Consider the following 24,894-nt stretch of genomic DNA (forward strand, 5'->3'; position numbering starts at 1 on the left):
GGATGGCTTAATCATTTAGAAAGAAAATGAAACATATTGTACACGTAATAGAAGGAAGAAAGAAAAGGACTTCAATGTAGTTTAATCAAAGACATATAATGCACTATGTGTAAACAAATCATTCAATCCTGAGTATCTTTGATTCAGCCTTAAATTATGTTAACATTATTTTGTTTGTTCATTTGGTTTGTTTTGTTTTAAGCAGGAATGTTGAGAGAAACAGGAAGTTGTACTTTTGAGAATGCAAAGCACAAAATTTACAGCTACTTTGTTTCAGTACAATAGACCTGAGAAGTTACACTTACAAGCTACAAAATATAAGTAAAATGTATACTTATTCTGCACTTTGTCATCACAAAATTGAGCTTCTGTCTAATTCTGTGACTGAGTTTAGAGTTTTCCTCTAAACTTTAGAAGTCTGTCTTACTAGCTTTAAGGATTTCTATTTTTAATCTTGATGTTACAAATATTTGTTTTGGAAACCGCATAGCTAACATACTTGGTGAAAAGTTGAAATCGTTTTTTCTAAGATCAGGAACAAGAGGAGGATACCCACTCTCACCACCTTTACTCAACATAGTACTGGTTACATGATCTTTTTTTTTTTTTTTTTTTTTTGAGACGGAGTTTTGCTCTTTCGCCTAGGCTGGAGTGAAGTGGCACGATCTCAGCTCACTGCAACCTCCACCCCCCAGGTTCAAGTGATTCTCATGCCTCAGCAGCTGGGATTATAGGCGCCTGCCACCGCGCCCAGCTAACTTTTGTATTTTTAGTAGAGATGGGGTTTCACCATGTTGGCCAGGCTGGTCTCGAACTCCTGACCTCAGGTGATCCACCCACTTCAGCCTCCCAAAGTGCTGGGATTACAGGCGTGAGCCACTGCGCCCGGCCATACATGATCTTATACTTAGAAAACCCTAAAGATTTCACGAAAAAAGACTATTAGAACTAATAAACTAATTCAGCAAAGTTGCAGGAAACTAAATCAACGTGCAAAAATCAATCGCATTTCTATACACTCACAATGAACTATGCAAAAAAGAAATCAGTAAAACAAACCCAGTTAGAATAGCTAAAAATAATAGTAATAAAATAATTCAGAATAAATTAAGCCAAGGAGGTGAAAGATCTGTACACTGAAGACTATAAGACATTGATGAAAGAAGTTGAAAAAGACACAAAGACAATGGAAAGATAGCTCATGTTCATGGATTAGAAGAGTTAGTATTGTAAACATTTTTATACTTCCCAAAGCAATCTATAGATTCAATGTAATCCCTATCAGAATTCCAATAACATTTTCCGCAGAGACAGAAAAGATAATCCTAAAATTCATATGGAACCACAAAAGATCGCTAATAGCCAAAGCAATCTTGAGCAAAAAGAACAAAGCTGGAGGCATCAACACTACCTGATTTAAAAATCTACTACAAAGCTAATATAATCAAAACAGCATGGTACTAGCATAAAAACAGCCACATAGACCAACAAAACAGAATAGAAAGCCCAGAAGTAAATCCATGTATTTACAATCAGTTGACCTTCAACAAAGATGCCACGAACACATATTGTGGAAAGGACAACTGTATATCTAGCTGCACAAGAATAAAGTTAAACCCTCATCTCATACCACATACAAAAATCAACTCAAAATGTATCAAAAACTTAAACATTAAGACCTGAAACTACAAAACTACTAGAAGAAAACATAAGGGGAAAGTTCCATGACGTTGGTCTGGGCAAAGATTTTTTGGATATGACCCCAAAAGCACAGGCAACAAAAACAAAACTAGACAAATGGAATTACATCAAACTAAGAAGCATCTGCCCAGAAATGGAAACAAACAATCAATAGAGTGAAGAGACAACCCATGGAATGGGAGAATATATTTGCAAGCCATACATCTGACAAGTTAATATCCAAAATATGATAAGGAATTCAAACAACTTAATTAAAGAAAAATAACACGATTTAAAAATGGGCCAAGGACACATTAGTGAAATATTTCACTTAGATAATTTCTATCCTACAACAGCATCTGTGAGAAATCCTGGAATTTTTTCTTAATTTCAGACACCACTTCCTCCAATATAATATATGGTATAATTACTTTCAGAATGTAGTCATTCTATTAATAAGGGAAAGCATTTTTACATTTTGAACACATTTCTGAAATATTAACTTCCACTTTCGTGAATAGCAGTGGACAAGGCCAGAATTTATGTTTTTCTGTAACGTCTTAAACTTACTAGTATTGGTAGAAGTAGTTAGATGAATTTAAGTCCTTTGATTCCAGTCACAAGAATTCTCCTTAAATACTTCCTTGATTTTGTACAGTATTCTTAGTTTGAACCTGTTAATTCATCCAATATTTATATTGATCTTAAATAAAATTTGTATGTGGCTAAATATTACTTGTGGATTTCACTTTCATTGATATTTCTATGGTCATTTCACAGTGTTTTTAAAATGTGACCTGTTGGATTTCTACTTTCACGAAGTTAATGTCATTTTCAGCCTAAAACTTGTCCTTTTAAATACTTTCCTCTGGTATTTGAAAATAGTGTGTATGTCCTGTTTACATGCCATGAATGCTATCAATTTGTTTATCTGATTAACTTGTCAAACTTTCTAATAAAATTATGTAACACTCCGGAAAAAAAATGGGCAAAGGACCTGAATAAACATTTCTCAAAAGAAGACTTGGCTGGACGCAGTGGCTCACTCCTATAATCCCAGCATTCTGGGAGGCCAAAGTAGGTGGATCACTTGAGCCCAGGAGTTCAAGACCAGCCTGGACAACATGGTAAAATCCTATCCCTACAAAATATACAAAAATTAGCCAGGCATGGTGGCATGCGCCTATATTCCCAGCTACTAGGGAGGCCAAGATGGGAGGATGGATTGAGCCCAGGAGGGAGAGGTTGCAGTAAGCTGAGATCACGCCATTGCACTCCAGCCTGGGCAACAGAGTGAGAGCCTGTCTCAAAAAGAAAAAAAAAAAGTTCAAATCACTAATCATTAGGGAAATGCAAATTAAGACCACAGTGAGATATTATCTCATACCTGCTAGAATGACTATTATCAAAAAGATGAAAAATATCTACTGTAGGTGAGAATATGGGGAAAAGAAAACCCCTACACATTGTCGATGGGAATGTAAATTAGTACAGCCTTTATGGAAAACAATAGGAAGTTTCCTCAAAAAATTAAAAATAGAACTACTCTCTGATCCAGCAATCCCACTATTGAGTATATATCCAGAGGAAACATAGTCATTCAGCCAAAGAGATACCTACATGTGCATTGCAGCATTATTCACAATTGCCAAGGTATGGAATCAACCTAAGCATTCATCAAATGCTTATTCAACAAATGAATAAACAAAGAAAATGTGGTATGTACACATAACGGAATACTAATCAGCTTTTGAAAAGAAGGAAATTCTGTCATTTGCGACAACATGGGTGAACCTGGAGGACATTGTGTTAAGTGAAATAAGACAGGCACAGAAAGAAAAATACCACATGATCTCACTTTTATGTGGAGTGTTAAAAATTCAAACTCATAGGAATAGAGAGCAAAATGGTGGTTAACAAAAGCTGGGGTTTAGGAGAGTAGGTCGATATTGGTCAAAGGACACAAAATTTCAGTTAGACAGTAATAAGTTCAAGATATCTATTGTACATCATCGTGACTATAGTTAATAATACATTGTATACTTGAAAATTACAAAGAGAGCAGATTCTAAGTGTTCTCACTTAAGACCAGCTTAAAAATAAGTACATGAGGCAACACATGTTAAATAGTTTTATTTACCCCTCCCATAAGGTATATAAATATACCTTATGGTATACCTTGTGGTATAAATTTATATATATATATTTATAAATATATAAATAAATATTTATATATACATAAATATATATATATATATATATATATATATATATATATACACACACACACCTTGTGGGAGTTACATAATAAAACATCATGTTGTACACCATAAATAGATGCAGTTTTTACTTGTCAATTTAAAAATATTCAAAATTGCATTATTATAAAAATATTTTAAAACATTAAGAACTCAGCATGTATTCAGAGGATGCTCATAAAATATTCATTTCTTCAACAGATATTATGTAGTAGACTAAAGAATTATAAGACAGCCCTTATACTTCAAAGAACTTAAAATTGAATGGGAGAAATAATGAATGTAAAGCATGCTTACTATTACTTGTATGTGTAAGCAGTGTTATCGGAGTTCAGAGAGGCAAATGACTTCTGACTGGCAAGATCTTGATATTTTCAATTTAGATTTACTGAAATATTATGTAATTCCACGGTAACAGAAGGAATGTGAAGTTTCTTTTCCTCCCTATCCAATACTTCCCTCTAGTGGCGCCATGGCTCCTTAACAATACAGCCCTACTCCCCAGCGGGTAAGAGAAAGGGTGGTGGGAACTTTCACTCCATCAACAAATCACTGTCAAATCTGAATTGATCTGTGAACATTAGTTTTGAGTTGAGCCATTTCAAATGAAACCCTTGTTTCTCTTAGAGAGAACTGGTGTCCCCAGCCAGAAAAAGTGTCCTACCATAAAAGTATCATGTTACAGGGCCCAGCCTTTTAGCATAAGATGCACTGGGAAAAAGCAGTAATCCCTGAGAAACAAGATATCAAAAGAAAAAATAGACCTCCCATAACTTTCATGAAAAAGTCAATTTCCCTGCTCCCAGTCAAAAGCTGAGGCTCTAGAATCCCGTGAAATGCTGTCAATGCGACAGGCAATTACGTCTTCGAATACTTTTGTTCCACTAACAAAAGAAAAATGTGGATTGTTTTCTAAGTATGGGTTGAGACACTGTGTGCCTAAAAATGCTTTCTTCTTTCTGTGACACATGCGAGTTTTATTAGAGAGGTGCTAATAAAAGCCCAAAGCTGAAACAGTCATCTTTACCGGAAACTTTGCAATACAGTTGTCTTTCAGTATCTGCAGGGGATTGGTTCCAGGACCCTCAGGGATACCAAAATCTGCAGATGCTCAAGTCCTGCAGTTGGCCCTGTGGAACCCACAGCTACGAAAAGCAGGCCGTCATATCCTTGAGTTCTTCATTCCTCAAAAACTGCATTTTAAAACAGGGATTGTTTGAATCCGTGGATGCTGAACTTGCAGACAGGGAGAACTGGCTGTACTGTGGCCTCCAGAATTGCTGCTTCAGGGCCTCTCTGAGGAAGCATGGCTCAGTATGTAACTCCCTAAAAGCAGAGACATTTTCTGTCTTCTTCATGGGTGTACATTCCAGGGCCTAGAACCTTGCCAGGTTCAGAGTAGACTTTTCAATATTTCCTGAATGAATACATGAAGGAAAACTGCACATTTCTCCATACAAACCAGCTCTGCCCCAGGACACAAGGAAGGGTAGCTTTGGGAGCATGTGAAGACAGAGCTTTGGGCACAGCAGCACCTGGATGGGTTGACTTCTTCTCCTGGAGTGGACAAGAAGGGGTGGGCGGGGATATGGAAAATCATGTTCCTGGGCATGTGAGGTGTCAATGACTCAAAAAAAATTAACTTCAAAGGGTAGCAATGTTCCTGAATGGACAGGTGGGGGCTCAGAATAATGGTTATTTGGGAACTAGTGTAGATGTAACCTCAGCTGACTCCCAAGCTGGCATGGCTTCAGCATAACACAGCATTAACAGCCTCACGTCTCCTGAACAGTGCTTTTTCAGTTCTACCATTCTTATATTCTTACATTCAAGTGTCTTGGAGGTTGTGTTCCTTTATAAGGAAAATGCTGCAACTGTAAATTATAACTGAAATCCCTAGATCATCTCCACTGTCTGCTTTCCTGTTTTCCTCTGGTTATAGAAGGTAGAAATCTAAGAATAATGTAGCCTATCCTTTTTACAAATTTACCCATTTTCCTATTAACTTTCTATTGATTTTGCTTTCTTTGTGGCAGTTATTCTGCGTCTCACACAAAACATAACTTATAAGATATTAGGTTACTGTTAATATCGTTACTAGCACCTCCTGCCACCCTTACTTTCATCCAAGCTGACAACTCACTTTGCTCAATAGTCTGAAATCTTGCTTAGTTTATTATAATAGCCTCCTCATTATCCATTTTATCTCCACTCTGGTCCATCTTATATATTACTGCCTAAATCTTCTGAATTTCTATAATCATATTTTCTCCTACCCCCAATAGTGCCCCATCAAAAAATCAAGAAATGGGCTGGGCACGGTGACTCATGCCTGTAATTTCAGCATTTTGGGAGGCCAAGGCGGGTGGATTGCTTGAGGTCAGGAGTTCGAGACCAGCCTGGCCAACATGGTGAAACCCCCATCTCTACTAAAAATACAAAAATTAGCCAGGTGTGGCGGCACGTGCCTGTAGTCTCAGCTACTTGGCAGGCTGAGACAGAATTGCTTGAACTTGGGAGACAAAGGTTGACATGAGTCGAGATCATGCCACTGTACTCCAACCTGTACTATAGAACAAGACTCTGTCTCAAGAAAAGTAAAAATAAATAAAAAATAAAAAGAGGTTTCATCTGTAAGAAAATCTTCAGAGCATTAGCTCCTTAAATAGAAGCCACCGATTGGCAGGAAGTGAGCCCTAAAACAAACTGCCAACAATGTTACCCTTCATTTGGTAGATCCCAGGCAGTCAGAGCCCTTCCTTGAAATTTTTGAACTTGGAATCAAAAACAGCCTTTATTTTCTGTCAGGTGTGTCCCACTGAATTTCACATGTTGAATCCCTAACTCCCAATGCAACCATATTTGGAGATAGGACCTATAGGGAGGTAATAAAGGTTAAATGAGGTCATAAGCGTGGGGGCCCAATCTGATAGTATTGGTGTCCTTACAAAGAGAGAAAGATACCCCACAACTTGTTCACTCTCCACACATCACAAGGAAAGGCCATGTGAGAAGGCTACCCTATCTGCAAGCCAGGAAGGGAGCCCTCATTAGGAACCAAATGAGCCGGCACCTTGATCTGGGACTCCTACGGCTCCAGAACTGTGAGAAACTAAATTTCTATTGTTGAAGCCATCTGGTCTGTGGTATACTGTTACAGCAGCCCAAACCATCTAATATCAGTGGTGAAGCTGGGAAGCATGTCATCAGAGGATACATTTCTGCCATGCTCAACAAGGGAATTTCAAAGGATGAACCATGACAAGAGATGGAGAGAGTCCTAAAAATACTCCTGTGCTCCAGTTGTTTATACATAGGACAAAGAGCAGAACACTATCGAAGTATTCTTCTTTCTTTTGTACCTACTATATGTATGAATGAGATTTATAATCAGAAAGTTTTTTAAATAATAATAAACGCATGGTGTTCTTTATTAAGTGTTCTATATAACTCCACTTCTTTTTCTCGGCCTACTTTATAATCATCTAAAACAAAAAAAGAATTTCTACCAACTAAAAGGCTTGATTTGGAAACCAGTTATCAAAAATGTATGATTTAAGCTAGGCTGCTACAGCTTTGGGAAATCAACATAGGGAATCTTTCAAGACTTGAGAAATAAACTCATGTTCAAAATTACTTCTTGAGAAATGCATCTTTTTGTTTTGTTTTGTTTGCTTTTGTCTTTCAATTCTGTAAAGGGATTCTGTCTGTTTCGTCCAGACATTTTTTTGATAAATATGGACAGAGGTAAACAAAAAAGAGACTCCAGGCTCCTCATCCTTGACTGAGACTTCCTGGTCTGTTCCTTTGTTGTATGGTCCAACTAAAGTGGAAAGAAAACTTTTTTTGAAATCATTTTAATGATCATTAGCATAGAATTAAGATGGGGAAACGATCAACTGTAAAGATATGTTTTTGTGACCAAAACAGTCAAGATGGTTCACTGCATACTGATTTCCCAAAGCAGGTACTATTTTAGGAAAAAGCACTGTAGGGAGAGTATCCAAATGTTAATGGCCATAGGCTGTTCTAGTTATAACTGCATTAACTGGGGTAAAATGGCCTGGAAAGAGAAAAAACAAGGCCAAACAAGGATACCAGCTTTTAGCCACCAGACTAATGCTAGAGAATATTTTTAGCAGCTCCCCAGAGGGAAGATGATGGCCTCCTCCAAGAGGTCAATAAAGATCTGGCATAATCTCAGAATTCAAGAAACAGCCCATCTTACATTGTACTAATGCAACATTGATAATTAGAAATCAACACTCAAATCCAAATTTACATACATACATGCATATATTCTGGCACTAAGTCTGCAATATCTAATGTTACGAATTTCCCTTCCTTTAACTGACTTCATGTATGCCTTAAAATTACCATTTCTTTCTTTTTTTGAGAGAGAGAGAGTCTCATTATGTTGCCCAGGCTGGATTCCAACTGCTGGGCTCAAGCCATCCTCCCTTCTCAGCTTCCAAGTAGCTGGGATTACAGGCACGTGCCACCGTGCCTGGCTTACAATTACCATTTCAGTAGGCAATTTTCTAGTTTCCAAGCAATGTAATTGTAAACATTTAATCCTTTTTTCCCTCCAGTATATTATACTGAGATAAAAATTTAGAAAATGTCTTGGGTTTTTATTGGTTTTCCTCATTAATGAGTCCTTCAAAATATCCTTGACTTGTAGAAGCTGGTTTTTTGTGTTTTTTTCAGATAGTAAATAGCAGCTGTAAAACTATAATTTCAATAGAAATAGGCAACTGGAATAGATACACAGTCAGACTCACAGGAGTCTGAAAGAAGAGCGAAATGAAAAAATTGCCAATTCTTATGATGCTAATTCATCAAACATAACCACGAATACAACAATATTCAAAAGGAATAAAGTTTGTGGGGAAAGCAACCAGTAAAATTATCCTAAGTACTTTTTTCCTTTTTTCTGCATTTAGGAATAACATGGTACATAACACATAAACAAAGGGCTTCAGAATAAGACATATCTAGGTTTGAGTTCTAGTTCAAATGTAATTATTGTGTATTTGATCTCTGTATGTTCTCAGCTTCCAGTTCTTACTAATGATAGTAACAATAACTGCCTGAGATAGATTGTCTACATTAATTTATATTTGGGATTCTTGCTAAATCAATATTATAGTTATCAGATCGTGTTGCAGATTATGAAACCAGAAAACAAATCTATCTAGACCCTGTGTGTAGTGGTATAACCATTTGTTGTGCTAGTCACTGTGGAAGAGAGAACAACAGCTGCTTTCTCCTACTCCCTATACTCTACAACACTTGTCCTCTTTCTGCAATTCATCCCTGCAAAGCAATTTCCTTTTCCCATTCCTTGGAATGCTTTTCTTCTCACTGTTAGCTGGCTCCTTTTTTTCTGGTCTCAGTTCAAATGTAACTTTACTCAGCCCTTTTCTAGCTTCCACTGCGCTATTCCTCCTAATAGATCACCCTGTTGATCTGCAGTTCCCACTATAGGACAGTATCAGGCTTATGAATTATTTGTTGTCTATCTCCACCAACTGGAATGTAAGACCCATGAAAGGGCTTGCTCATCTATTTCACAGCTGTATTCTCTGAGCCTACAACAGTGCTTTATACAAAGTAGACTCATACTCAGTAAGAAATTGTGGGATGGGTGGATGAGGAAGGGTAAGGTTTAAGTGAATGATAAAGATCCTCCTCTGCTCATAATCTGAACACTTTCCATCGTTTTCATGGCTAACAGCTGCTCTTAGTCTTCATCACCTCTCATCTAGGTTGCTGCAGTAAGCATCTTAAAGGATCTGCCTGTTTCTACCGCTGCCCCTCTATGGTCTATTTTATCACAACAATCAGGCTAGTCCTCTAAAACATGTAAGTCATTCTTCATTGAGAAATCCTATGATGGCTCTCCATGTCACTCAAAAGCCAGTCCTTAAAATAACCTACAAGGCCCTAATTGATGTGGCCCACCCCCTACTAACTTCCTCTCCATCACCCACTGAGTGGTATCTACTCTTGCCTTTCTGTTCTTTGAACATGCCAGGCACCTTAGGACATTTGCTCTAGGCTGTTTCCTTTTCCTAGAGTGCCTTTTGCCCATATACAGTTAGCCCTCCATATCTGTGGGTTCCGCATCTGTGGATTCAACCAACAGCTTGAAAACATTTAGTAAAAAATAAATGGCTGCATCTGTATTGAACACATACAGACTTTCTTATTGGTCCTTATCCCCAAAACAATACAGTATATTTACACAGCATTTATCCTGCACTAGGCATTATAACCAACCTAGAGATTATTTAAAGTATATAGGAGGATGTGCATAGGTTACATGCAAACACTACACCATTTTATATAAAAGGCTTGGGCATTCACAGATTTCCGTATCTGTGGGAGGTCCCAGAACCAATTTCTAACACAGTGGGATGACTGTTTCTGACCAGTTCACTTTCGGATGTCTCGAAATAATCTGACCTTCCTGTTGAAGCCTACCCTAACTTTAATACTGCAACCAACCAACCACACCCATGTGAGTTCTCCCCTTTGGTCTTTTTCCATAGAACTTATCTTTTAACCTACTGTGCAATTTATTTTTAAACTCTCTTTCCTACCACCCCTTTCTATAACATATGAGGGGAAGAATCTGCTTTTGTTCACCAGTGATTCCTAGGTACCTAAAACCAGTTAGGACACAGTAGGCACTCAGTATCTCTTGACGAATTACCAATCTCGATATATATAGAAGGAAAGTCCTGAAGTGGTTCACAAGATGCTACTCTCCACATGGATGCACAACAGGACCCAGGAAAAGGGAGTCCCAAACTTGAAGTCTATGAAATTTCCAGCTTCATGCATAGTTCTCTCAAAGCAGGAAGGGTTCTGCAAACCCTGAAGCAAACTACCTAGAGCAGCATCGTAATTCTTTTTGATTCTTACTCTCTGTATCTATTTGGATTTTGTGTTCCCTAAATAGACCTTTTTGAAACATTCCTATTATGAGCAGCCTATTATGGCTACCATTTATTAAGCACCTAACTACTGTTTAGGTTAAACAGTTGTGGGTCCATTAGATGATAGCTGGGGAGCCCAGGAACTGTCCTGCTTTGGTTGGTTCCTGATGAGAGAAACCTACCTGAACCCACTCGGAGTGTAGAAAAAAACAAATACTGAAATATCTTACAAAGCCATTCTACTAAAGCCTAATTCTAAGCTGTGGGATATATCCAATATTTAAGCATACTCTCACATAGCTGAGAAAAAAAAAAAAAAAAAGAAATATAGACCCCAGGAGCCAAAGATAATCTGCTTCCACTACCCCCGGGTTCTAGCATATTCCAAGATATACTGGAGTGGGTAGGGGGAAAAAGCAATATGCATTCAAACGGCAAGTTGAGACAGAAGTTGAGACTAATTTTGAGCTGTTAGAAGTAAAATTTCACTAAAATAACATCACAATAATGTTGCTTTCACAAGTTTAGTGGCAAAAGAATCATTTCTTTGATCCTTACCTAAGATTTACAAGGCTGACCAAAAGTTGAAATTATTGGCATAAAGTGATAAAATCAGACAAAGCATGGTAAAGACTGCTTTATTGGTGGCAGTTACTACAAGTCAATAAATATTGATCCCCAAAGAAGAGCTCGGTTATTTATCAGATTACTGGTCCATAGAGAGCTGAATGAAACTGAACCAAGCGATTGCTGGGATGACTGAAGTCACTCCTGCTTCTTGGGAAATGAAGCCACAGCCAGCTCATATATGGCATATGCTGTTCCTAAAAATAAAAAACAAAAAAGAACTTAACCATAAATTCTAAGATCTAAGTGTATAAATTTAATATTCCAGTTCAAAAGTTGTAAGTTTGCATTAAGACTACCTTAATTGGAACACAAAAAAGTATTTTGATAGGTGCTGGAAAAATTTTAAATAAATATATGTAAAATATATTTAATCTAGTTTTAATATAGAAAGTGTGGCACAATAATATATTTGTCAACATAAAATGCAAAAATTTTTAAAAATAAGATTAAGAACGTATACAAAGGTTATTTCCATATTAACCCAAGACTGCCTGAGAAATGCTAAGGATGATTAAATGCCAAAGAAAAAAAGAGTTCAAAATATGCAAGCCTTCCCTAAAGTGAATGTAAAAAAAAAGAGTGATATAATTTTAAAGTAATCAAATGTAATATAAAAAATAGCTGATAACTGGGCCGGGCATAGTTGCTGAAACCTGTAATCCCAGCACTTTGGGAGGCCGAGGCGGGCGGATCACCTGAGGTCAGGAGTTCGAGACCAGCCTCAACATGGAGAAACCCTGTCTCTACTAAAAATACAAAATTAGCCAGGCGTGGTGGTGCATGCCTGTAATCCCAGCTACTTGGGAGGCTGAGGCAGGAGAATTGCTTGAACCTGGGAGGCAGAGGTTGCAGTAAGCCGAGATCGCGCCATTGCACTCCAGCCTGGGCAACAAGAGCGAAACTCCATCTCAAAAAAAAAAAAAAAAAAAAAAAAGCTGATAACTGGAATTTCATTTTAAAAACTACTTACCAGAATGTCTAAGAAATGTCACATTGGCCAAAAGGAATTTAGGGCTTTATCTTTTTTTTTCTTTTTTTTGAGATGGAGTCTCCCTCTGTCGCCCAGGCTGGAGTGCAGTGACACAATCTGAGCTCACTGCAACCTCCGCCTACCAGTTCAAGCAATCTTCCTGCCTCAGCTTCACGAGTAGCTGGGATTGCAAGTGTGTGCCATCACACCCGACTCATTTTTGTGTTTTTAGTACAGACAGGGTTTCACCATGTGTGCCAGGCTAGTCTTGAACTCCTGACCTCAGGTGATCTGCCAGCCTCAGCCTCCCAAAGTGCTGGGATTACAGGCATGAGCCACCATGCCCAGCCTATACCTTTTATAATAAACTGGTAAATGTGTTTCCCCAACGAGGAGATTGTGGGAACCCCAACTTAAAGCCAGTCAGTCAGAAGTTCCGAAGACCCAAACTTGCAACTGGTGGGAAGGAGGGGACAGTCTTGTGCCATCAACCTGTGGAATCTGATGCTATCTCCCAGTAGATAGTGTGGAAACTGAACTGGAGGACACCTAGCTGGTGTCCATTACTTGGTGTGCAGGGAAAAACCCCCACACATTTGGCAACAGAGATCTTCCATGTTGATTGTTGTGGTGTGAGAGTAGAGTTTCCCAAACAGGTAATTAATATGATTTCTTCATCTTTAAAATGAGGACATATTATAGACTTCATGCAAGACTCACAGAAATCCAAGTATGTGGCATTCCTATGAATATGATAGGCATAAAATAATCACTCAAATATAGCATCCCTTCTCTTTACCTTCCAGTGGAAGTATTGTTCTGTACAAATTTTGTTTTGGTCATAAATATGTCTGTACAAAGTTTAGATGTAAAGTGTGCTTTTATTTTGCATCACAGTCAAAATGTTTTAAAGCCCTTGCTGTAAGAGGTGGGATATAATGGATGTTTTTGACTGAAATATAGCCTTCACTGCCATCAATGGGACTCAGAAAGCCAACTCTATCACAACATAATCATCAAATCTTACTGGTGTTATTTTTTTATTAAGACATCAAGGCCAGGCGCAGTGGCTCATGCCTGTAATCCCAATACTTTGGGAGGCTGTGGCGGGCAGATCACCTGAGGTCAGGAGTTCAAGACCAGCCTGACCAACACGGAGAAACTCCGTCTCTACTAAAACTACAAAATTAGCCAGGCATGGTGGTGCACGCCTGTAATCCCAGCTACTCGGGAGGCTGAGGCAGGAGAATCGCTTGAACCCGGGAGGCAGAGGTTGCAGTGAGCCGAGATCGCGCCATTGCAATCCAGCCTGGGCAACAGGAGCAAAACTCCATTTCAAAAAAAAAAGAAGACATCACAATGCTCTTATACAGTATGTATCAGTCACCCTCTTGAATCATTATGAGATATAGTAAGATATCAAATTCTGGAGACAAACTGCCTGCATTAAAATACTGGCATAGCAAAAGCAATAAAGTTATCAGTTATCATTACTATTACTTTTCTATAAACCTTCAAACATTCCAAAGGCCTTACCACCAACTGTAAGAATCATGGTGGCTCTATACAGGAGGGCATCAGCTACCCCACCCTTTAGATACAGTGGAATTTCATCATCCTCCTAGATTTAAAAAAAAAAAAAAAAGACAATAATAAATGTCTCACTCATTTCCAACTAAGTTTCAAAAGAACAGGCATATAAAATGATATAGCTCCTTAAATCCCTAGAATTAAAGTATTTTAAGTATTAAAATTTAAAAGACCTACAATTTTCTTTATTCCGTCTCTACTACTACTACTTTTAAAATAAGAATTCCTAAAAGTCAGCATTCTTCTTTCACCGTTAATTTGAGATCCATTAATGACGGTCTTTCCAAAGAATATATAAACATTAAAGCTATAAAACATACACACTGATCTCAACAACTTTAATATAACTTAAATATAAAAGAACCAATAATTGCCACACATTAGATTTAGTCATAGGAAACTTTTTTTCCCTTAAAAAAGTGGGGAAGGGATTTTGGTTTATAACCCTAAATTATATCCCTAGCATCTAATCCAGCATACAGTAGCTATTTAGTACATCTGTTCAATAAAGTATTGTATTTTTAGGTATATATGATACAACTATTTTTAATCACTTTAAGCTTTATTTAGGAAAAGCTAGAAACCATAATAAAACAAAAATCACTCATAATCAAACTACTTATAAAGGTAAATTGCTCTGCTCCACCAGGTCTTTCCCCAAGAGACAACCACTATTAGCACTATGGTACATGTCCTTGACTTTTTTTGTAATGTTTATATTGTCATATGATCTAATTTATACACATACTTGTTTATCCCAACTCTTACCTTTTGGTAATCTAATAATTACAAGTAACATCTCCTATAAAATACTTCAGTACCTGGAACAGTTTTTGCTTCTCCGGAACTTTATTTTTAAAATGCCTGCGGGAAGCAGTGCTTATCGTCCTCTGCCCAATCTGACGAAGAGCCTAAAATGAAAATATTATTAAATAGACTTAGAGCCTAAAGAAACCTTCAAAACCAACTATTTTCAGTCGTTCATATTATAGAAAAGGTAAATTGAGACTTGAAGCATATCTGATTTGTCAGCAGCAAAGTCATGCAAGAGCATCCAGGTTTTTCAATTTGTTATCCATCCTCTGCTCTTCGAATTACATTCTGCAGTCTCCAAATAACATATTCAAGAAGCAATTCATATAGATTCTAACCAAAAAATAAAATCATGATCTCTACCTGAACAGAACCAGTAGCATTTTATAATCCTTGATGCAAACATATTGACATACACATATTACAAAAATAGTGCTTAACCAAAATACACCAAACCCAAATATTTTCATAATATACTGCCATATCATCAAAAACCTGCCAGGCGCGGTGGCTCACACCTGTAATCCCAGCACTTTGGGAGGCCGGGGAGGGGGGCGGATCACCTGAAGTCAGGAGTTCGAGACCACTCTGACCAACATTAGAAACCCCATCTCTACTAAAAATACAAAATTAGCCAGGCGTGGTGGCACTTGCCTGTAATCCCAGATACTTGGGAGGCTGAGGCAGGAGAATAGCTTGAACCTGGGAGGCGGAGGTTGCAGTGAGCTGAGATCGCGCCATTGCACTCCAGCCTGGGCAACAAGTGTGAAACTCCGTTTCAAAGAAAAAATTCTATTACTAGGCAGGCAGATCACTTGAAGTCCGGAGTTCGAGAACAGCCTGAACAACATGGAGAAACCCTGTCTCTACTAAAAATACAAAATTAACCAGGCATGGTGGTGCATGCCTGTAATCCCAGCTAATCGGGAGGCTAAGGCAGGAGAATCGCTTGAACCCGGGAGGCAGAGGTTGTGGTGAGCCAAGATCGCCCCATTGCACTACAGACTGGGCAAAAAGAGTGAAACTCCATCTCAAAAAAAAAAAATCTGTTACTTGGCCAGGCGCGGTGGCTCACGCCTGTAATCCCAGTACTTTGGGAGGCCAAGGTGGGTGGATCACCTGAGGTAAGGAGTTCAAGACCCGGCCTAGCCAACATGGCGAAACCCCGTCTCTACTAGAAACACAAAAATTAGCTGGGCATGGTGGTGCGCACCTGAAATTCTAGCTACTCAGGAGGCTGAGGCGGGAGAATCGCTTGAATCCAGGAGGCGGGGTTTGCAGTGAGCCGAGATTGCACCACTGCACTCCAGCCTGGGCGACAAGAATGAAACTCCGCTCAAAAAATAAAAATAAAAAATAAAAAAATAAAAAAGGCCGTGCACAGTGGCTTATGCCAGTAATCCCAGCGCTTTGGGAGGCTGAGGCGGGCGGATCACTTGAGGTCGAGTCCGAGACCAGCCTGGCCAACATGGTGAAACCCCGTCTCTATTAATAATACAAAAATTAGTAGGGCTTGGTGGCGAGCGCCTGTAATCCCAGCTAGTTGGAAGGCTGAGGCAGCAGAATCGCTTGAACCTGGAGACGGAAATTGCAGTGAGCCGAGATCGTGCCACTGCACTCCAGCCTGGGCAACAGAGTGAGACTACGTCTCAAAAAAAAAAATAAAATAAAATAAAATAAAATAAAATAAATAAAAACAACAACAACAAAAAAAACCCTATTACTTGACAGCAAATAGACTGGCATGATTCCTTCTCAATTAAAATGCTTCTCTCATTACATTTTTCCTAAAAAATTTTAAAGAGGGTATACATCTTTTAAAGAAGAGACATGCACTACATATCCAGTTGAATTAAATAATGAAACAAATATGCTCTCGATTTTCTAAAATTACATTGAGGATTTTAATGAAGCAAAACTTCATTAAATAATTTAAAAAATAAAATAATCATTGTCGCATTTTTCTTTATCAAAATTTGGGGAAATATTTCACATGCTCAAAGTCGATGGAGGGGTGAAGGACAATGCACAATCGCCTGACGGAAATAACACTGCACTTCAGCCATGACTATTCCTAAAGTTCCACCCAAAATTGAATGGCTTGGTTTTTAAACTGCCTTCTCAAGCTCGCAAAGCTCAAAACCATTGAAACTTAAAACCTTTCAGTACCAGAAAAACACCTTTCTGCTTGATGCTTCCGGGTGTCAGACACTCCCCACCTGGGTCTTGGTTTTACTCAGATCGGAGCTACTAACCTCATCAATGACCGACAGGGTTAGAGGTGGTGACTAAGAACCCAAGACGGGTCTAACCCACGAGTCTCTGGTCACTTCCCCAGCCTCTCCACTCCTTACATCTACCCAGTAACGGCCTGGGGCGAGAGGAATAGACGGAAGGGAAAGTAAGGTCAGGGAAAAAGGACACGAATCAAGGTGACTTCATTAGCCGCCTTCGGCACCCCTCCCAGGTGAGGGTTTTCTGTCGTGGTGCCTCAGCCTCCTCTCCACTCCCTCGCCCCCATCATGAATGCAAGATGAGAAGCTCCTCACCAGCAGATTCCGCAGCATCTTGGCTGTTACTGACCAGCAACCGCCACAACTGAACACCACCAACGAAAATGGCCACGCCGGAACCGGAACTACCTCCGAGTCTTGCGTATGCATTCACGAACTTAAATCTTTCCGGGCCGAAGAGAGGCTTGCGCTCCTAACCATAGAGAGCAAAAGAAAAACTAGAGCGGCAGTACGGCTCTATCCGCTCTAGCCGGCTCGCCGTCTCAGTCCCGTGATCTCGTTCCTGACCTTTTCGATGTTCAGTAGGCTGGTCCCTGGAGCTAAGGCTGGGGAAAAAGCAAACGATTTATGAGACGAATGTAATAAGCTTAGATGAAGTCAATGTGAGACCAGGCTATCAAAGAAAACTAGTGTCTGTTTTGAGCGAGAAGGCGTAAAACTGGGCAACCTTGAAGCCGCTAGAAACTGAACAAAGACTGGGTTGGCCGAAATACAGCTCTGAAGCCTCATAAAATTCAAAAAAGAATTACTCCTCTTACGCGGATACAGTCAGTTTTTTCCACCGAAGGAATTGCTGCGGCACATTACTGTTCCTTGTGTTGAGAATATGCTGTAAGAGCTGTGTCGAGATACCAGTTTTTATATTCTTGTACCTTCGACTGCTGCAGAACTCCCCAAGCAAGAAGTTCTTCCACAGTGTCCCCAAATTGTGGAAGAGGCTCGCTCGCTTCTGAGGAAACGTTAGGGAACAAGAAATGGGATGGCGAATCTGGACTCAAAAGTCTTGCTGTCCCAGATCCAGCAGGGCACTACATTCATTACTGGAGTAGAGAAGCACAGCAATTATTTGTTGTACAGAAAGGCTGTCGGTGTCATCCATTTTGCTTAAGTAATCCCCATTACAAGTGTTTATTTCTTGTACTTACCCTCAAGTATGTACAAATGCAAATATCTACCCTGTATTACAATAATCTTTCCACTTTCTACAAACTCTTACAAATTATTTGATTGCCATTTCAAATAAGAAACCCATAGTTTCAGCAAAGGATAAAAATTAGTAATATTAAAACTATTCCTTATAATCCTTGGGGTTTTCTTCTTCACAATCTACTGTATGTCAATGGGCCCACCAAGTTACCAGTCCCAGTTAAAATTCTCTTCCTCACCAAGGTTTATAAACACCCCAATTCATGTCTTCCTTAGATTGGTACTGAAAGGACCTGGTTTTCTACACCCCTCTGGATTATGCATATAACCAAAACTCTGGGCAAAATTACCACGTGCCAATAGCTAGGGCGTGGGGGTTTTTTAAGTACATTGTCCATAATCTGAATTTGTTAGTTGTATGTGCTCTCTTATGTTTTCTCCACTTAGCCAACTCTAGATTGTAAATTTCCCAAGCGCAGAGATGATGTGGATTTCTTACCAATCCCCTAGCACTGCTAAAGACAGTATTAACCAATACATCAATTAATTACATTGGGTGACAGATCTAAGAAGCTTATGACCCTGTCCAAAAAGAGCCATGAGGCCAGGCGCAGTGGCTCACGCCTGTAATCCCAGTACTTTGGGAGGCCGAGGCGGGCGGATCATGAGGTCAGGAGATCCAGACCATCTTGGCTAAAGCCGTGAAACCCTGTCTCTACTAAAAATACAAAAAATAAGGCGGGCGTGGTGGCGGGCGCCTGTAGTCCCAGCTACTCAGGAGGTTGAGGCAGGAGAATGGCGTGAACCCAGAAGGTGGAGCTTGCAGTGAGCCAAGATCGCTCCACTGCACTCCAGCCTGGGCGACAGAGTGAGACTTCATATCAAAAAAAAAAAAAAAGCCATGAATTCACATTAAATAGATCCTAAAGTAGACATAGATTCTTGTATGCATGTTATTCAGTACAATTTCCCCCTTTACTGGATCATTCCATCTATTAACACATTCCCAAATTAAAAACAAACGAACAAACTCCTTTGATTACCGTTACCATCCTATAGATTTCTTTATACTTGTCTCTCCTTCTCCTCCTCCTAATCTTTTTTTGATCCCATTTTGGGCAGGCTTTTACTGCTCTTGTTTAGAATCACCAATAGCTTCCAGGTTGCTAAATAAACTGTCAATCTCAATTTTCACCTTCTCCATCTATTAGCAGCATTTAACATAGTTAATCCGTCCCTCACCATATACTTTTACTTTTTAATTTGGAGGTAAACCATACATGTAAGAAAGAATATGATAGTTTGAAGCATGGTCTTAAAGTGGCTTCCATAGTACTCCTTCGGTGGTTCTCCTATTTTAGTGGCTGCTCCTTTTACTTTCCTTTCCTGGATCCTTATCCTCTTAAACCTCTAAAATTTCAGTTTCTCACCTTTTTTCTACATTCATCCATTTTGTGATTTCATCTAACATTGAACTACTACTCCCACTTCCTGTAGATTGTATGAAGAAAGAATTGTTTTAGGAAAGAAAAACTATTCATGTGCTGACAACTCTCACTTATCTCTCGCCTGGCCTTTCCCATTAACTTGAGACATCTCCACCTAGATGGCTAATGCGCATCTCAAACTTACAAACAAAACTGAATTCTACTTTCCACTCCTTATTCCCCAACTTTCTCCTCTGCAATTTTCCTTATTTCAAGCCTTAAACTTTGTTTTCTATCATACTCTATAAACCAATTTATTAAAAATTTCTATTGGCTGCACCTTCAAAATATAATCTGAATTGAACCACTTCTCATTATCTCCAACAGTACTACTACTGTTGGCCAAGCCATCATCATCTCTTGTTCAGATTATGTCAAAAGCCTTTTTAACGGGTTTCCCTGTTTCCACTCTTCCACTATCTTCCACACAGCAATGATTCTTTTAAGAACTTAAGCTGGATCATATGACTCTGCTCTAAACTCGGTTGTGTTTACTCATGTATCCCTGGCATCTAGAATAGTAATTGGCACATAGAAAATGCTCAATATACATTGGTTAAATGAATGAACTGTATCCTGCACAAAAGAATGGACTATTGAGTATAAAAATTCAAAACATCTGTCTTAGTACTTGTGCTCCCTCCAAATGTTTTCAGTCCCAGGGTTCCTCATTCATTATCTTCTTGCTCCTTTTCTGTAAGTTGTGATTATCCTGACATACAAATGACTGAAATTTGCCTGCGTACCTAACAAACTTTATTGCATCTTCCCAGGCACACCAGAAACATTACCACATTTTAAAATTCATCCTCTGAACCAGAAGTTACTTTCAAAGTAGAATGCTTTCCAAAACATCAGTTTGGGGTTCTTTTATCCTTGCTCTTTTGTAATGTTAGAAAATTAGAAAATGGTTCTTTCGGAAAATACTTACTCCGGAGGGTTTTGTAACAGTATAACAAAATTGGCAGGGGGAATATGTGGGAAATATCTGGGAAACCTGAGGTAGGTAATGGTTTAAGTCTCGTCAGTAAGATGGACATCAGATGCGAAAGTACTAAGTGAAAATATCTCATAATTACTGATGCAAAGTTACCAGAGGACAGTTACCCAATCTTTTTTTTCCTTTTTTTCCTTGTCTGCTTTTTAGCAGACAAGATAACCCTGACTTTGATCCTGCCTATAGAATCGATAAGTAACAAAAACAGAGGGAAGCCAGAATAGTTTTGTGTGATTTGGTTGTGTGTGTGTGCGTACACACATCTGTTAATTCTAGAGCCATGCTTAACCAACTTCCAATTTTATAAAAATATAGAACAGTTTCATGTGAACTTTAATGTTACAAACTACTGGTTAGGTAAAAGATAACATTTCAATATAATTCCATACTTTATCATATTCTGAGTCACTTTTGGACATCAGGAAACAGTTGCTATCTTAGTTGCTGTATTAGTTTATTATTAAATACTTTAATTGCAAGCCTCAGTCTTTTCATCATTAAACTTTAGTTAGACTAACTCCTAATGATCTTTTTCTCTGACTCTAAAGTCCTTATGATAAACAATTTCATAAAACATATGAATGAGGACTAATCTCTGATTTTTTTTTTTATCTTGCCCAAATTCATATCTAAAGGGTCTGGGGAGTCCTGCCCTACAAACCACAAATTCTCATCAGATGGGTTTTATTTAACCCTGTATATTATGACTTACTTTCCCATGTGACTCTGGCATAAGGAGGAAGAAAATCAAAATGTTTTACCCCAAAACATGTCTCTCTGCCATATCTTGAAATTGCCCTACAAAGTTTCTTGTGGGAAAAATCCGCATTCTATAGAGAATCTCCTTTCCCCTTTCCAGATCCAGGAGATAATCAACTAAGAGCCAGGCACTCTTTTAAGTCTGATAAGACACATTTTATAACCTGCTCTCTCTGCAGTCCGCTGAGAGTTTCCTCCGCACAATAAAACTTAGTCTCCACATCCTTTATCTTTTTTTTTTTTTTTTTTTTTTTTTGAGACGGAGTCTCGCTCTGTCGCCCAGGCTGGAGTGCAGTGGCGGGATCTCGGCTCACTGCAAGCTCCGCCTCCCGGGTTCACGCCATTCTCCTGCCTCAGCCTCCCAAGTAGCTGGGACTACAGGCGCCCGCCACTACGCCCGGCTAATTTTTTGTATTTTTAGTAGAGACGGGGTTTCACCGTTTTAGCCAGGATGGTCTCGATCTCCTGACCTCGTGATCCGCCCGCCTCGGCCTCCCAAAGTGCTGGGATTACAGGCGTGAGCCACCGCGCCCGGCCCACATCCTTTATCTTAACCTAAACATTTCTTTTCTATTGATCCCAGATCTTCAGATAAACTCAATCAGTTGTCAACCAGAAAATGTTTAAATTTACCTATAGCCTGGAAGTCCCCCGCTTTGAGTTGTCCCGCCTTTCTGAACCAAACCAATGTATTTCTTAAATGTATTTGATTGATGTCTCATGCCTCCCAAAAATATATAAAACCAAGCTGTATCCCAACCACCTTGGGCACATGTTCCCAGGATCTCCTGAGGGCTGTGTCACTCATATTTGGCTCAGAATAAATCTCTTAAAATATTTTATAGAGTTTGACTCTTTTCATCAACATGAACATGAGTCATTCCCCATTGAACAATAATTACCGGTTACCTACTATGAATGTAACACTTTGTAATACACGCAAGGGAATATTGTTTTAAAGTCTCTGACCTTCTGGAGAATATAATCTAATTAGGAATATCATACATAACAGTAAATTTGATGCAGACATAAATGACTCTCCAGATGACTGGTACAACAAAAGTTGTATGGGAAATTCAAAGAAACTAGTGGGCTAAGGTTGTAAAAAGACAGAATTTTGGGCCGGGCACGGATTATAGCCTCACCCCTGTAATCCCAGCACTTTGGGAGGCCGAGGCGGGCAGATCACGAGGTCAAGAGATCGAGACCATCCTGGCCAACATGGTGAAACCCCATCTCTACTAAAAATACAAAAATTAGCCTGTAGTCCCAGCTACTCGGGAGGCTGAGGCAGGAGGATCGCTTGAACCTGGGAGGCGGAGGTTGCAGTGAGCCAAGATCACGCCACTGCACTCTGGCCTGGTGACAGAGTGAGACTCCGTCTCAAAAAACAAAAGACAATTTTGGCAAGGTCTGGTAGAATAAATGGAGCAGAAATTAAGTCATTCCAGATGTAGGACAAGAACATGATTAACAATCTGAATTTGGAATCAAGCGTTGATGTGCTGCAGAACTGCAAAAACAGAGGCCTAGATGGAGTGAAAAGAGAAAAAAAATATATTGTTGTTAAGAACTTGGAAGTCAGACAGATCCTGAATCTGCCATTTAGTGGTAGTGACATGACTGAACGTAAGATACATAATCTATTTATACCTCAGTTTCTCTTGTCTTTAAAATGGAGATAACAGTATTCATCATCATTGGGTGGCTGTTAAAATAACTCAATAAATATTTACTATTATGGGAAGAAAGGTTGGGTAAGAAGAAAAATCTAGGCAAAAGCTATAACATTTGCAAAGGCAAAGAAGACAGGGTGGCCAAATGTCTTGGGGAATTGCAAATGGTTTGATTTGCAGAACAAATGAAGAATGAGGTAACAGTGGAAGGCTGATTTCAGTGATGAATTAAACAACTTGAAGGGCTACTTAGAGGTTCAAGTAGCAAACTGTTAAAATCGGAGCCCTATTTCAAGATCGTTCTAGTAATAAAAGGCTGGATTGGGCATGAGTTATTAGGGTCAGAGAGTCTGTCAGAAAGCTCTCATAGTAATCCAAGGAGGAAGAAAAACCTAAACTAAATCATCAAGAGAGATGTAGATAAGGGGAGGGATGAGAGACCCAACTAAAAGGAAGAACATTCAAAAATCAACACAATACAGTGATTAGGTTGGGCAGCTGGAGAAGAGAGCTAGGGTTTCTGGCTTACCTCAAGGTGGTTGGCTATACCATTCACAGTAATGAGGAATGTAAGAAATCTCAGGTTGGTGTGAGATTATTCCTGTTTTGACCTTATTAAACCCAGGCTTGTGTGGAATGATTGCTGCTTGGGCCTTACTAACTTAGGTTAATTCATTATTAACCTTCATTTCTCAAGAGATTAATAATGAAAAATCTAGAGCTCAAGACAGATGTCAAGGCACAAGAAAAGATAGAGAAGTCAGTCAGTGTTAAGACAATGGAATAATAAGGTACTTAAGATTGTTCAGGCAGAATGTGTAACTTAAAGGCACAGAACATAATCTCAAAGAACTCCCAACATTAAGGAATATACAAAGGAGACTAAGGAACAGATAAGGGGAAAAAAATCAGGAGTCATTCACAGAAGCCACATGCTAAAGATGAAGTGGGAAGGAAAATGCCTATCAAATGGAGCAAAAAGATCAATATAAGGGTGAGTTCACTTGATCTGACAGAAAAGAATGGGAATTGTTCATTGAATATCTATTTTTCTATGCTTTGTGCTAAATGCTTTTTAACTGTCACTTTCCTTATTGCTCAAAACAAAATCTGTCAAATGGGTATTGAAATCCCTATTTTACAGACAAGGAAAGGTAAATGGCTTAGAAGATTTAAGCAATTGCAAGGTACAGCTTGTAAGTATAGGAGCCGTATCAGCCTACTCCTGAAACCCATACTCTTTCTACTGAATCTTTCAGACACAGGTGACAGTCAACAGAGTACAAACGATGTAATCTTGAGGTGAAAACCTGACCCTGACTGAAGCTGAAGATGATAAGAAAATATAAAGGACATACTGTTTCACAAAATTTGTTGTGAAAAGGAAAGACAACATGCCCTGGGGTTATTTTACACCACTGATACAGCAATTTGACAAAAATTTATAAAGCTATTGTCTGCAATTCTGTGCTTGAAACAAAGTGACATAACAAGCTTGAAAGGGATGTAAGGGGAGTTCAATCTTTTTCCACATTACCCTGGATAGAAAAGCTTGTGATATACAAACAGACAAGCTCCTATTAATACCACTTAAAGTACATAACAAGTTTATCTTTTAAGATTTTTTTAAAAACATTATAAAATCAC

At 38.9% G+C, this 24,894-nt stretch overlaps 1 protein-coding gene across 9 annotated transcripts, besides 2 other annotated features; it reads right to left on the bottom strand.

Moving 5' to 3' along the window:
• Positions 1 to 11,395: 11,395 nt before the first annotated feature.
• COX7A2 (cytochrome c oxidase subunit 7A2) lies at positions 11,396 to 24,019 on the bottom strand. 9 transcript variants are annotated; one of them, NR_029466.2, is made up of 5 exons: positions 23,777 to 24,019; positions 17,438 to 17,727; positions 14,844 to 14,986; positions 14,022 to 14,106; positions 11,396 to 11,709 (listed from the first exon to the last, which is right to left on the bottom strand). NR_029466.2 is itself a non-coding variant. In NM_001366292.3 (5 exons), exons 2-5 carry the CDS (start codon positions 17,453 to 17,455, stop codon positions 11,651 to 11,653), a joined length of 252 nt encoding a protein of 83 aa, NP_001353221.2. In that variant the 5' UTR covers positions 17,456 to 17,594; positions 23,777 to 24,019; the 3' UTR covers positions 11,396 to 11,650. The 9 variants fall into 9 exon arrangements, 6 of the variants coding, with proteins under 6 accessions (NP_001353221.2, XP_047274146.1, XP_024302098.1 ...); NM_001366292.3 differs by having other exon boundaries at positions 14,897 to 14,986; positions 17,438 to 17,594; XM_047418190.1 differs by lacking the exon at positions 23,777 to 24,019 and adding an exon at positions 18,055 to 21,790 and having other exon boundaries at positions 14,897 to 14,986.
• Positions 17,307 to 17,636: an enhancer, noted in NCBI's record as "active region_24757". NCBI's record gives its function as "activates an Ori minimal core promoter by ATAC-STARR-seq in GM12878 lymphoblastoid cells {active_cell/tissue: GM12878}" and the evidence as "EXISTENCE:reporter gene assay evidence [ECO:0000049][PMID:35858748]".
• Positions 17,857 to 17,956: an enhancer, noted in NCBI's record as "active region_24758". NCBI's record gives its function as "activates an Ori minimal core promoter by ATAC-STARR-seq in GM12878 lymphoblastoid cells {active_cell/tissue: GM12878}" and the evidence as "EXISTENCE:reporter gene assay evidence [ECO:0000049][PMID:35858748]".
• Positions 24,020 to 24,894: the final 875 nt, after the last annotated feature.

This window comes from Homo sapiens, chromosome 6 (genome assembly GCF_000001405.40).
Source record: "Homo sapiens chromosome 6, GRCh38.p14 Primary Assembly".
Lineage (NCBI taxonomy): Eukaryota > Metazoa > Chordata > Mammalia > Primates > Hominidae > Homo > Homo sapiens.

Coding starts and splice junctions, on each gene's coding strand:
- COX7A2 (XM_047418190.1), bottom strand. CDS start 17,551: ATGCATACGCAAGACTCGGAGGTAGTTCCGGTTCCGGCGTGGCCATTT. Junction 14,987..17,437: donor AGATGCTGCGGAATCTGCTG/GTGAGGAGCTTC, acceptor TTTTCATTTTAG/GCTCTTCGTCAGATTGGGCA. Junction 11,710..14,021: donor CATGATTCTTACAGTTGGTG/GTAAGGCCTTTG, acceptor TTTTATTTTTAG/GAACAGCATATGCCATATAT.